The sequence below is a fragment of the Homo sapiens genome, chromosome 1, assembly GCF_000001405.40.
Source record: "Homo sapiens chromosome 1, GRCh38.p14 Primary Assembly".
NCBI classification, from domain to species: Eukaryota; Metazoa; Chordata; class Mammalia; order Primates; family Hominidae; genus Homo; species Homo sapiens.
The window spans coordinates 14,716,594-14,730,602 of record NC_000001.11 but is presented as its reverse complement, the minus strand read 5'-3'; the positions used below and the strand labels follow the sequence as shown (position 1 = coordinate 14,730,602).

Below are 14,009 nucleotides of genomic sequence, written 5' to 3'. Positions count from 1 at the left end.
TGTGCTTGCATCCTAGTTCTGCCCTTTTCTGGCTGGGTGACAGAAGGCAGATTACATGAGACTCTGCCTGTGTTTCCCTATCAGTAAAATGGCAATCACAGGAGTACATGTACTAGGGTTACTATGAGGACTTAAGGAATTAAAACATGTCAAGGACATGTGGTAAGAAGGCAGCCCATCAATGAATAAGCGTGAACTATCATGATAAAAAAGATACTTTAGGCCGGGCACGGTGGCTCACGCCTGTAATCCCAGCACTTTGGGAAGCCGAGGCGGGCGGATTACAAGGTCAGGAGTTCGAGACCAGCCTGACCAACATGGTGAAACCCTGTCTCCACTAAACATACAAAAATTAGCTGGGCATGGTGGCACGTGCCTGTGATCCCAGCTACTCAGGAGGCTGAGGCGGGAGAATCGCTTGAACCCGGGAGGCAGAGGTTTCAGTAAGCCGAGATCGCGCCACTGCACTCCAGCCTGGGCAACAGAGCTAGACTCTGTCACATTTAAAAAAAAGGATACTTTATGAGAGGGACCAGCAAACTCTTTCTGTAAAGGGCTGGATGATAAAAATTTGGGGCTTTGCAGGCCACATGCAGCCTCTGTCATCGCAGCACAAAAGCAGTGATAGACAATACAGGAACGAATGGGCGTGCCTGTGTTCCAATAAAGCTTTATAGTCACCCACATTTGAATTTCCTATAATTATCATGTTATGAAATAGGTAGATATGCCTCTTTTGATTTTTTCCAACCATTAAAAAATGTAAACAAACAAACAAAAAAACCATCATAGGCCACACGGAAACAGGCTGGGTAGTTTGTGCCCCCTGCTGCAGGGCCTTAGTGTTGTTATTCGGTTAGTGAGGTCTCTGGCCTGAAACAAGCTCCTTTTTCTCTCATTCTCCATTTCGAGCCAGTGACTGCTACAAAGGAAAATACCTGAGGACAGAGAACCCTCAGCTTGGCCTGATTCTAAAAGTGAACGCTTCCCCAGTGGAATCTCGAGACACTGTTTGTGACCAACCTGAAGGTCTACATTCACACACCTTCCCATTCTGGAATTCCCTGCTCTTCCCTTGCATTCCCTGACAGCGAAGGGCATTACTCTATGGACCACAGACTTAATACGACATCTCACAAAACCCATTAGGGTCGCCTATAAAAGCATCGAATGGAACCAATTAGTGTGGGAGGGAAGAAAGCCCGGCTATTCTGGGTGAGAAGATAGCGAGGGGCTCTGCAGAGCTGACTGCTCCCAGGTGCACGTCTTGGATAAATCTCTGCTTCCCTATGGATGCTCAGTTGGAGCCCAAGGAACACAACCAGATAGCAAGGGTCACTAAGTCTCTTTGGGTCACTGTGAAGCCGAAGACAGCCTGGCCTTTTCCCCATTTCTTTGCTGTCCCTCCTCGTTTTCACAGGCCCTAGACGTGGGCAGGGGCCGAAGGTATCCAGTGACACAGCCCCTTCCCCATCCTGATCCATGTGCTGCGGAGCACATTCGAGGCAGGAGACGGGCAGGAAAGCCTCAAGGATAGGGTCAAGGGTCACGCCAGGGCCACTCTCCATCTGTCACCCAGGAGGCTCTCAAGAAACGGCAGCTTCCCAATCGTCACCTAAGGATATCTGAATAAGTAACCTCTGGAAGGTTCTAAAACGGCCTGCTGTTATCCTAAAAGGAAACTTTATGGAGTGTTTAAACGGAGGCCAAACTCACATGCTCGCTCATCTAATCCTTGCCAAGAACTTTATGAGGCAAGGATTACTACTACCCCCATTTTACAGATGAGGACACTGTGGTCTGGAGGCCTTCACAAATTTGTTCCAGGGAGTGACGTTTGTGAGATGCCAGAGGCAGGATCGGGTGCACTTAAGTGTAAGGCGAGGCTGCTGTCCTCATGGGTGTATCCTAGGCCTCTGCAAAAGCAATGCTCCTGCCAGGAAAAAGCCTCCAATACGGGAAGCCAAGTGTCTTGTAATGTGATGGTTATAGGAACCGGCTGCATTTGAACCCTCTGAGGACAAGCTGCTAAAATTCAGGTCCCTGGGCCCCATCCTAGGTGACCTGAGTCAGCATCTCTGGGGCTACTACAGACTTAGTTCATCATTCATTCATCCAATTAACTAATTCAGGGTTCCCCAACCCATGGCCTCTTAGGAACTGGGCAGCAGGAGGTGAGCGGCAGGTGAGTGAGCAAGTGAAGCTTCATCTTATTTGCAACCACTCCCCATCACTCATGTTACCGCCGAAGCTCTGCCTGTTGTCAGATCAGCAGTGGCATTAGATTCTTTTTTTTTTTTTTTTTTTTTTTTTATATATACGGTGTTTCACTCTTGCTGCCCAGGCTAGAGTGCAGTGGCACAATCTCGGCTCACTGCAACCTCCGCCTCCCAAGTTCAAGCGATTCTCCTGCCTCAGCCTCCCGAGTAGCTGGGATTACAGGTGCACGCAACCATACCCGGCTAATTTTTGTATTTTTAGTAGAGACGAGGTTTCACCGTGTTGGCCAGGCTGGTCTCGAACTCCTGACCTCAGATGATCCGCCCGTCTCGGCCTCCCAAAGTGCTGGGATTACAGGCGTGAGGCACCGCGCCCGGCCAGCATTAGATTCTCATAGGAGCGCAAACCCTATTGCGAACTGCGCATATGAGGGATCTAAATTGCTGATTCCTTAGGAGAATCCAGTGCCTGATGATCTGTTGCTATCTCCCATCACCACTCGATGAGACTGTCTAGTTGCAGGAAAACAAGCTCAGGGCTCCCACGAATTCTACACAATGGTGAGTTGTACCATTATTTCATTACATATTACGATGCAATGATAGAAATAAAATACACAGCCGAAGCGGTGGCTCACGCCTGTAATCCCAACACTTAGGGAGGCCGTGGTGGGCGGATTACCTCAGGTCGGGAGTTCGAGACCAGCCTGACCAACATGGAGAAACCCTGTCTCTACTAAAAATACAAAATTAGCCAGGCGTGGTGGTGCATGCTACTTGGGAGGCTGAGGCAGGAGAATCGCTTGAACCCAGGAAGCAGAGGTTGCAGTGTGCCGAGATCGTGCCATTGCACTGCAGCCTGGACAACAAGAGCAAAACTCTTTCTCAAAAAAAAAAAAAAAAAAAAAAAAAAAAAAAAAAAAAAAAAAAAAAGAAAGTGCACAATAAATGTGATGGACTTGAATCACCCCAAAACCATCCTCCACTTGGCCTCTGTCCATGGAAAAATTGTCTTCAATGAAACCCATCCCTGGTGCCAAGAAGGTTGGGGACCGCTGAACTAATTCATCAGGAGGGGCCGGGGACACTGGCAAGCATCCTGATTCAGGAAGCCCTGGGTTCACGTCCAAGGCCTGTTTTGTTCTCCTCCGCATCTGCATCTCCCTGCCCAGTGCTGGGTTATCCAACAGATGTACTGAACATGAGCAAGAGAGAAAAACACTTTTTCGGGGAAAATTCAATATTCTTTCTCTCTCCATATATATATATTTAAAAACCTCAAAAGAGACATCATAGGAAAAAATGTAATTTCTTTGACATCCTCATTCAGGTGTTATGGTTTCCACTGAGCACTTGTCAAAGTGCAAGCAGTAGCTCAAGGCACAGCTTCTGGAGCCAGGTGCCTGTGTCTGAGTGTTGGCATCACCACAGAGGGATGGCCTTGGACAGGTAGCTTCACCTCTTTGTACCTAACAGGGCTGTCTTCAAGATTCAGTGAGTTAATACAGGTTCTCAAAGCTGAGCGTGCATGAGAGGCACCTGGAGGGCGTGTTGCAATACAGATTCCCAGAGTTTCTGATTCAGCAGGTCTGGGGCGGGGCCTGAGAATCTGCATGTCTCTCAAGTTCCCCGGGGATGCAGATGTTGCCGGTCTGGGGAGCCTGCTTTGAGAACTACAAGTACAGGTAGATAGTTAAGCCAGTGTCTGACCTTCTAGGAATTGCAATTCATTGCTACCTAAGTATTCATCGCTTTTGTTGTTGTTCTATGTAGGGGACACCATAATCTTTGCAGGGCTTGCAGCTTTGAAAGGTCTTTGTACAACCCAACCCAGCCCACAGACACTCGAGGAAGGATGACTTTGGACAGGCTCTGCAAAGAAAATCAAGACTGAGGGAAGCATGGATGACCCACCTGGATCCCTGGGGGAGAGCACACACCCGGAAGCCGCTCCACACCTGCTGAGATGCTGGGAACGCGTCTCCCAGGGGACGCTTCCTTCTGGTGGGGAACAGGGACAATTAGTCGCCCCTGGTGACCAGAGCCTCTATCAGCTTGCACAGGTCCCCTGTGTGCTCTGATTCTCCTGGTTGTTTTGCGGGGTGTACATCTGCTTCTCCCAAGCACCAGCTGTCTGTGCCCACCTGGGAGCTGCTTCCTTGGCAAGAGCCTGGATACCTCCACACAAGGGCTTGTCATAGGCCCTTTTGGAATCCCTGTTGGTGGCCTTTCCTGCAGAACCAAAGCATCTGAAGCCTCATTCACAGAGCCAGTGCCAGATGAGGTGAGGCTGGCATCAGGACTCCTCCCCAACCTCTGACTGGCTTGAATGTGTAAACTGTCACCAACACAGACATTCACAGTTTGGGAGCAGAACTGAAGCCAAGAGATAACAGTGTTTAGTGCAACCTAGATGCAACCCATGACGCTATTCAGTGGCTTTGAGCCCATCCGCTTCCCTCCCCTAATTAGCAGGGCCTCCCTTCTGCTACTCAAAGGGTGGTCCAGGGACTGGCAACATCAGCATCACAGGAAACCTGCTAGACTTGCAGAGGCTCAGCCACCCCAGACCTATTGAACCAGGATCTGCATTTCACAAGATCCCCAGGTGGCTTTGACAGCACTTTAAGAGCTGAGCTAAGGGAGGCTCAGGTTGACTGTATTGGGGAAAGCAACCAGGAAAAATTGGGACTCTGGGGTTCTGAGTTTGAGTCCCGACTCAACCTCACTGGGCAATGAACGTGGGCAACACCCTCCTGCACTCTTAGCCTCTGTTTCCTCACCTGTAAAAGGGGAACAGTGATAACATGGCTGTTATAAGGCTTACATTTATTCCTGAATGGATATTTTAGTGTCTGCTATATGCTGGGAACCATGAGAGGGACAGGAGATATAAAAGGAGAAAGAAAGAAAAAAAAAAAAAGACAGCTCCACCCTCATGAAACTTATGGTTAGTCAGTGGAATAATGAATAATGAATAAAGAATTACACAAATAAATGTCAGATGACAACAGTGGTAAATGTCACAAAGGAGAGGTAGAGAATGCCACCAGGAGCCTAAGGAGGGGGTCCCAGGTAGGCTGCCCTGATGAAGTGATGTCTGCATTGACGCAATGAAGAGTAGATGAAGGTGAGTGAGGAGGGAGAAGAATATTCCAGACTGGTGATAACATTTGAAATGAGAATACTTGGCACACAGGAGGCACCCAGTGAGTGAGAGGGAATATGTATTAGTTAGTTATAGCTATGTAACAAATCAGCCCCAATGGCCCCTGAGTTAAAATTCAGTGTATGGTGATCTTCTTTCCTCTGGTAAATTACAAGAGGAATGAAGGTCGAAGTCCTGTTTACACCGATTTTTCACAACCATCTCTTATGTGCCTGGTACTTCTGAGTGCCTTTTTCTGTCTCCTCAAGTTTCCTGGTCATTTTCTTCCCATTGACTCATACTTGGGATGCTGGGAGGTGCACGCAGTAGCACTGACTTCTTTCCGACTTGACAGGGGAAGTGAAAATTGATGAACCAGAGTGAGGAAGGGCAGAAGGGAGTTTGTGAAGTAATTGAAAAACCAGACAGACCATGGAAGAATTATAAATAGAGGCTCAATTCCACCGCAGCCCATCAAAGCCAACGGGGCAACCCGCAGAAGGGATGGGGAACACACTCCAAAAGACCCAGGTTGGAAACAAATGAGTTTTAATGGAACATTTCAGTTCTGGAGAAAAATGGGAACACCAAGTAGGAATAACAGCTCAGGCAATAAATTGGTGGCAGTGTCATCCAGGCACAAAACGGAGAAGGAACCAGGAGAGCAATTGGTTTAATTTTTTAGATTAATTGTGAGCAGTCAATAATGTGACTCATTCGAGGACCCAGAGGCATGTAAGCTATGCTGAGTAATCTACTTAGGTTGGTAATTATTGTTTGTATTCATGGAATTAAGGCCACAAAAAAGGTGGTTTAGAGAAAGCCCCACAGTGCAAGGGGACTCTAATCCCAGCTCTCCCGCAGACGCATCTGTGCCCTGGAGTGAGGCATCGATATTGTGGTTACTGTGCAGAGAATAAGAAGAAAAAATCTTTCCATCATTCCTGACTTTGTGGCAGATTCACTGCCAGTTTCAAAGAATTCACTTTTTTTTTCCCTATCCTGTTTTTATTCCCTTTAATTCAAAAAATTGGTTGGGGGATTTTAAAAAGCGCATGAAAGAATAAGAAAATAATTGTGCACCTGCTCGCCACCCGGAATTAATCACTGGTAGCATCTTGCCCTGTGTGCTTTCTTTGTTTGTGGCTTTTAAGAAAAATCACGTTGTTGTTGTAAAAATGAAACGTACTCCTTTTAAATAAATCAACGAATGCAGAAAATTACGAAGCTGAAAGTACAGAGCTGGTCCCCAATTCTGCCATATTCGGTGGACGTCATTGCAGGCATCTGTCCACGCTCATGTGTGGACAGAAACTTCATGAGGGCAGGGGTTTTGTCTCTTTTCATCACCTCTGGGTTCCCAGTGCCCACAACAGTGTCTGGGAAATAGGAGGTGCCCAGTAAAGTATCTATTGAAAAACTGGCTGAATAAACCCTCTGGATCAGTCAAAGCCGTATCCCAGGAAAACTAGCTTTTGGGATCAGGAGCCACACTCCGACGTGGTTTTGAGTCACTGCACTCCCACTTCCACCCCACTGATGTTTACCCACAGGAGCACTCGGGTGGAAAAGGAGACGAATGCAGGAGAGAGAGGGAGCAAATGGATGCTGAGCCCGGCAGATGGACAGCCAACTGTGAAGGGCCTTTTGTCCCAGGCAGTAGAGTTCCAATGTTCCAGTACCTCTTCCTCATTCCCCATCGTGGCCATAGAGGCATGTGATCATCTTTGTACTGCTCCCTCGTGTTAAACTCATGAGTCTCGATGAGGCCACAGGCCGTGATGAGCAAGCTCAGGCCACCCCAGGTCCCACTCATTGCTGCCCCGGGACCTGAGGACTTTGATATCTTGGCACTCCTGCTTTGCCTGCTTGGTCCACTGTCACAGTTGGGGGGCTCTGATGGCTTCAGTTAAGGTAGGGCTCAGATTAGGCTGTAAGAAGACCTTTCTGGGGACAGTGTGGGGGCAGACAGCAGGTAGAAGGTCTGGGAGTCAGGATTAGGATCTCTTTGCAATAGGTCAACATTGGAAGATGCACCCCTTGACTATGGTGCAGCCGCAGGGTCAGGAGGAGGAAATGGAGATTTTATTTTTATGTATTTATTTATTTTGAGACAGAGTCTCACTCTGTCACCCAGACCAGAGTGCAGTGGTACGATCACAGCTCAGGGCAGCCTCGACTTCCCGGGCTCAAGTGATCCTACTGCCTCAGCCTCCCAAGCAGCTGGAAACACAGGTGCACACCACCACGTCCAGCTAAGTTTTTAAAAAAATTTTTTGTAGAGATGAGGTCTCACTGTGTTGCCCAGGCTGGTCTCAAACTCTTCAAATGACCCTCCCACCTCAGTCTCCCAAAGGGTTGGGATTACAGGCATGAGTCATGGCACCCAGCTAAATGGAGGTGTTTAAATGATGCCTGGGATTTGCTTCAAACTCACGTAGGAACAGGGGCTGGGGAAGGGAATCTAGGTGTGGATAGGGCAAGACTGGCCAAGGGTTGATGGTTATTGAGACCATAGGCCACGAGGGCATTCATTTTACTGGGCTGCTGACTTCCCTGCATGTTTGAAATTCTCCACAATCAAAAGTAAAAGAGACAGAGAGATACCAAGTAATAGACAAAGTAAAGTAAATTTTATTTTACAAAGGTATGCTCATTGGGAAAAGAACATCACCAATCCAGAGTGCAATGTTTTGAAAGGAATACTTTTTCATATTTATTGAAAACAAAACACGGTTATAACGAATGTATATTTCTTCTCATCCAACAAACAAACCTTGACCCTGAATGATGTTCTTCTTCTGGGTTTTAAATTGAATTTTTTATGTTAATTAGATAGAATATTATAATAACTTAATGACCTGAGAATGCTGTAATGTTTAAGATTTGTGAAGCACCTAATTTCTTTTAATAACAATATCACATTTGCCCTGTGATGGATATATAATTTTATTCTACAAAATGGATCATCACATACTAAAACGCACATGGAAATTTGCTTAAATGTAACTGTTTCCTGGTCATCTCTCCATGTCCATGTGGATCAATCCTCACCATTTTTTATTTTTTATTCTTTTTTTTTTTTGAGACAGAGTCTCACTCTGACGCTTAGGCTGAGTGCAGTGGTGCAGTCTCAGCTCACTGCAACCTCCGCCTCCTGGGTTCAAGCAATTCTACCTCAGCCTCCCAAGTAGCTGAGATTACAGGCATGCACCACCATGCCTGGCTAATTTTTATATTTTTAGTAGAGAAGGGGGTTTCACCATGTTGGCCAGGCTGGTCTCGATCTTCTGACCTCAAGTTATTCACTTGCCTCAGCCTCCCAAAGTGCTGGGATCACAGGTGTGAGCCACCGCACCCGGTCTATTCCTTACCATTTTTAACAACCTCACAGTATCCCAGAGTATATGTATTTCTACTTATTTATCCAGTTCAAAGAGCTGAGGGGTTGATTGACAATTAGGATTTCAATTTGCCTTACAATAAACAATGCTGCACTAGGTGGTCTTATATAGAAATCTCTGCAGAACCTGCTTAGTTTTGAAAACCCAGAAATGTGTTGGAAATCTGAAAAGACATCACCAAGATACCTTTCAAATGGATAGTACTGACTTGTACCCCTGCTCTCAGCATTGAAATGTCATCCTTGAGGTAAATACTCAACACAACCAGACCTCGAACACGAACAAGGCTGCCTTCAAGGTTCTTGTCTGGCCAGTTTCACAGTTGCACAGGTCTATTCGTCTGTTCTCATGCTACTAATAAGGACATACCTGAAACTCAGTAATTTATAAAGGAAAGAGATTTAATTGACTCACAGTCCAGCATGGCTGGGGAGGCCTCAGGAAACTTATAATGATGGCAGAAGGGGAAGCAAACATGTCCTTCTTCACATGGCAGCAGCAAGAAGAAGTGCAGACTGAAGGTAGGGAAAAGCCTCTGATAAAACCACCAGATCTCGTGAGAACTCACTCACAAGCACGAGAATAGCATGGAGGTAACCACCCCCATGATTCAATTACCTCCCATTGGGTCCCTCCCATGACATGTGGGGATTATGGGAACCACAATTCAAGACGAGATTTAGGTGGGGACACTGCCAAGCCACATCAACAGGGCTTCATGGTTCTCTGTTAGAGGCAGCATCAATACCACCGCTCAGGCCTCCTGTGGCCCAGAGCACCCTAAATAGATAGTGCTCTTTGCAAGAAGAAATGCCTGACTCTGTATACAGGGTACAAACAAGGGCAGGGGCCAAGCCAGAACTGGTCATCAGGTCACCTGATGGCAAACAGGCTGGAGGGTCTCCACCCACACTCACTGGGGAGGCAGCAGAAAAAAATGCCTTGGAAAGTGGCAAGGAAGGTCAGGCGCGGTAGTAGTCCCAGGTACTCGGGAGGCTGAGGCGGGAGAATCACTTGAACCTGGTAGGCAGACGTTGCAGTGAGCCAAGATCCTGCCACTGCACTCCAGCCTGGGCGACAGAGTGAGACTCCATCTCAAAAAAGAAAAAGTGACGAGGAAGCAGCAAATGAAAACAGGAAAGCCTGCCGATGTGAGCGAAGGGCAGTCTGTAAGAATGATAAGAGGAGCAAAGATGGGAAATGGAAAAGAAGATTGCACAGAAAGTTAAGCAAAGAAAAATATTGCAAGAATATGAGGCAGGAAAGGTCAGCGACAGAAGATGGTTTGTCAGAGCGAGCTAGCAGAAGTAATTTACTGACTGCACAGGTAGATGCCCTAAATTAAATTTATTCCTGGCCTCCATGAGGCAGGTTTCAGAAGGAGACAAGAACCTTTTGGGGCAAGAACGAAAAACACAGAAAGGAATCAGACTCACGGTGGCATTTGACAACCAAGAAAGACGCATTAGGGACTTGGAGGTATTTGGGATCTTGCTGGGAACCCCAAGGATAGCTCAGACTGAAATAAGGGGGCTGCCCAGTCTTGCCCCATGACTATGTTCTCAACAGCAAGGAAGGGGAATGGGATCTTTCTTTCTCCAAGTTAAAGCTGCACCAAGTAGGCGCTAAGGGTGGCATTCACAAGAAGTGCCATCCCCCAGTGGGTCCTCTTGTCATGTTGACAAGTGGCACAAGCTCCGGAATCCCAGGCCTGGGCTCTGCTCTCCCATTCATTTGCTGGCTGGCTTGAGACGTGTCCCTTAAATCCCCTGAGCATTAGCTGTGTCATCTACACAGGGTGGAGAAGGTGGCTTGTTAGCTTGCTGCCCTCCTGTCCCTGCCTCTCCCTCTTGTCCACTCCACTCCATTTCCTCTAATTCCCCTGTTGTTTTCCAAACATGCTGTAGGGCCTTTGCACTGGCCATTCCCTCTGCCTAGAATGCCCTTCCCAGCACCTGCATGTTTCTCTCCCTTTTTTCTCATTATGTTTTCTTAAACAGAGTCTCACTCTTTTGCCTAGGCTGGAGTGCAATGGCGTGATCTTGGCTCACCGCAACCTCCACCTCCTGGGTTCAAGTGATTCTCCTGCCTCAGCCTCCCAAGTAGCTGGGATTACAGGTGTGTGCCACCACACCCAGCTAATTTTTGTATTTTTAGTAGAGACAAAGTTTCACCATGTTGGCCAGGTTAGTCTCAAACTCCTGACCTCAGGTGATCCGCCCGCCTTGGCCTCCCAAAGTGCTCGGATTACAAGTGTGAGCCACCACGCCTGGCTTCTTTCTCATTTTTGCTCAAATATCACCTCTCAAAGAGTCTCACCCTAACCACTGTCCTTAAAATTACACTCCCTCCCATCTTCTTTTCCTCCTGTTTCTCCATAGCACTGGTAGCCTTCTAACAGACCACTGGACACAGTCCACTTTTGCATTCTATGGCCTAAATTCTTTGTCTAGAATCTAAGCCCCATGAGGGCAAGGGCTTTTGCCTGCTCTATTTCCTGCCATGTCCCCAACATCAAACATAGGTGCCTGACACATGCTATGCACTCAGCGTAAATGTGTTGACTATGGTCATGAACCTATAACTGAATAATCATAATCAAAATTGGTTATTATTTTATTAATTTGACCAAGATTTATTCATTGCCTACTACCTTGTATGCTGGGCATCATCCCTGCCTTGCAGAAGCTGAGTCTGTGGAAAGACCAGCAAGCAGAGAGTACATGTGCAAAGTTGAGTGTGGGTTGGTCCTATGGCGACTGTGGGTAGATTATGATGGGAGCCACACCAGGTTCCCGCTGTTCTTGGAAACCAAGCCTGCACCCTTAGAGACTCAGACAATCCCAGCCCTCAACTCAGACTGTGAAGTTGAAAAATGTTGACCTCAAACCCCCTACCTTCTCTTTTTATGTCATGTCAACCAACCAACCCATCCTAACAGGCGCAACTGGGGCGGAGTGGGGTGGTTCTTGCTTTCATGATGTCCCCTAAGGATCCAGCCCTCCACGTAGCCCTAAGATAAAAGCAGAAAGGAAAGGGTGCGGATTCAGTAGTTTAGGAGTTAAATTAAACCCCAGTTCTGTCTCCTCCTTCACTGCTTCTGGTTTGTGGGGATCCAGAAGGCCAGTGACATTCGCCATGTGAGGTCCTTGGCACTGCCCGCGTGTGCTAAACACCTACAGCTTGAAGACCAAGTGGCAGGAGAGACAAATATTTAACAGTCAGCTTAGCGGCTGCACCAAAAGCAAACTAAATGTTAGGGACACATAAAAAGGAGAATCACACATAATTCAGAGAAAATTATTCTCGCAAGAGCCTAAATTTGTGAAAATTGTCAGCAATTCTCTTCCTTTTATTACAAAAAGGATATTGTGATATGCGGAAACCCTCCAAAATGGAAAAGTCCCCGCAAGGACGTCCACATGCCAGGTTGGGGGAAATCTGGTCTGTACTCTCTGAAAAGCAGGTGATTAAGGGGCCATACAAAATGCTGAGTGGAGTCCCGAGGGCACACCGCCTACCACGGTTTGAATTCACATCAAGCGGGAGGACAAATGTGGTGGCAACATAAACCAGGGAGATGGGCACTTAACGGAAATGAGCGACATTTTCTTTACAGAGCAACAGAATCAACCATTTGAAGTGGTGGTGCAAACAGCTGGAAGAGAGAGCATGAAGCACATCGAAAATGCGACTGGACAGGAATCAGACTCCCTGGGGGTAATTTGCTTCTTTGTGCTTGCCCTGCCGCTGGTGACCAGCAGCCAATGCCGGCGGTCTTTGGCGGTGCTACCCCAGTCACCACAGGTGATAGAGGCCAGGCTCAATGGGGGAAGCGTCCCTCTTGATGGCCTCTGACCAGGTTCTGTTCTCCTTGTATTCTGAACCAAAGAGAGCAGGCTGGGAACAGCAGGCAAGATGGTAGCCATCAAACTTGGATTTCGGGTGCAGCAGGGGTGGGGGTCGGTGTGCAGTGGAAGCGCATCCACATTGCATCAAGGCCCGACCTTTTTTTGGCCAAGCCCAGCTGTGAGGTCCAGGACAAACTGCCCTCTTGGGCCTCAGTTTCCCCTTCCATGTCAGCCCCACAGGGGTGTCAGCCCCAGGGGCCTCTTGGGCCTCAGGTTCCACTTTCATGTCAGCCCCAAATTCATGTCCACTCTGAACCTCGGAACCTTATTTGGCTTAAGGGTCCTTGCAGATATAATTAAGGTAAAGGTCAAGATGAGATCATGCTGGATTAGAATGGGCCAGAAATCCAATGGGCGTGTTCTTCTATGAGACAGGAAAAAGGACACAGAGACACACAGGGAGGGGGCCACAGAAGATAGGGGCAGAGATCGGATGCTGCCACAGCCAAGGAATGCCGGGGCCACCGCAAGCTGGGAAAAGGAAGGAAGGAGCCTCCTCTAGAGGTTTTGGAGGAAGCATCGCCCTCCTAATACCTTGATTTTGGACTTCTGGCCTCCAGACCCTCTTTCCAGCTAGAATACAGAATCCATGAGGGTAGAGATGTGTCTTTCTCGTTCATCAACACATTCCCAGCACCTGGTATGGGAAAGCTCATGCCAGGGTACATGGTTGTTGAATGGACACATGAGATGAACACACGAATCCCTGTGCCTACAGAGTCCACATCCAGTGAGTAGGGGGGAGTGGGAGGTTATGAGACAATAATGCTGTAGGCTGCAAGCATGCACATCCAAGGACGACACAGATAAATCAGAGATGCCTAGGGGAGAGAGCGCTCACATCTGGCCAGGTGTCCAAGGATGTTACCTCTCCCTCCATGGGCAAGGGAGCCTCCCAGCTGGGCCTTGAAGGGCAGGGCTGGAGGAGAAGGCATTCCAGAGGGCGGGACTGCTGTGAGTCAAGTCTCAGAGGCCAGAAAGCATAAGATGCTCCAAGGGAACTGCCAGGGAACATTCCCCCGGCAGTGGCACCCTCTTCTTTGACAAACACTGACATAGAAACTTTGACTGGTAAATGGATTTAACAAAACCAAGTGGGTCAGTAACTGTGGTGGCTAGAGCCATGTCTGGGATTGCAGAGGATTCACAGAGCACAGTTTGCAGAGCAGGGCCCTAGAGGGGAGGATGTAGGTTAACTAGGGACAGCAGGGAACACAGGAAAGGACGGCTCAGGCACATGGTGAAATGCCAGCCTTTCAGGTGCTCCGCCTGAGGGCTGAGCAGTGGGCTTTGATGACAAGAGCTACCTGCTCAGAGAGTTGCCGCC

At 47.9% G+C, this 14,009-nt stretch overlaps 1 protein-coding gene across 11 annotated transcripts in view, besides 2 other annotated features; it reads right to left on the bottom strand.

The window, feature by feature from the left end:
• KAZN (kazrin, periplakin interacting protein) overlaps window positions 1–14,009 on the bottom strand; it is a 1,225,220-nt gene that overhangs the window by 387,441 nt on the left and 823,770 nt on the right. The gene's annotated exons all lie outside the window — the stretch shown is intronic.
• Window positions 4,351–5,037: an enhancer, noted in NCBI's record as "OCT4-NANOG-H3K27ac-H3K4me1 hESC enhancer chr1:15052062-15052748 (GRCh37/hg19 assembly coordinates)". NCBI's record gives its function as "activates a minimal SCP1, AML or CMV promoter by ChIP-STARR-seq in primed H9 embryonic stem cells {active_cell/tissue: H9 hESC(primed)}" and the evidence as "EXISTENCE:reporter gene assay evidence [ECO:0000049][PMID:30033119]".
• Window positions 12,179–12,746: an enhancer, noted in NCBI's record as "H3K4me1 hESC enhancer chr1:15044353-15044920 (GRCh37/hg19 assembly coordinates)". NCBI's record gives its function as "activates a minimal SCP1, AML or CMV promoter by ChIP-STARR-seq in naive H9 embryonic stem cells {active_cell/tissue: H9 hESC(naive)}" and the evidence as "EXISTENCE:reporter gene assay evidence [ECO:0000049][PMID:30033119]".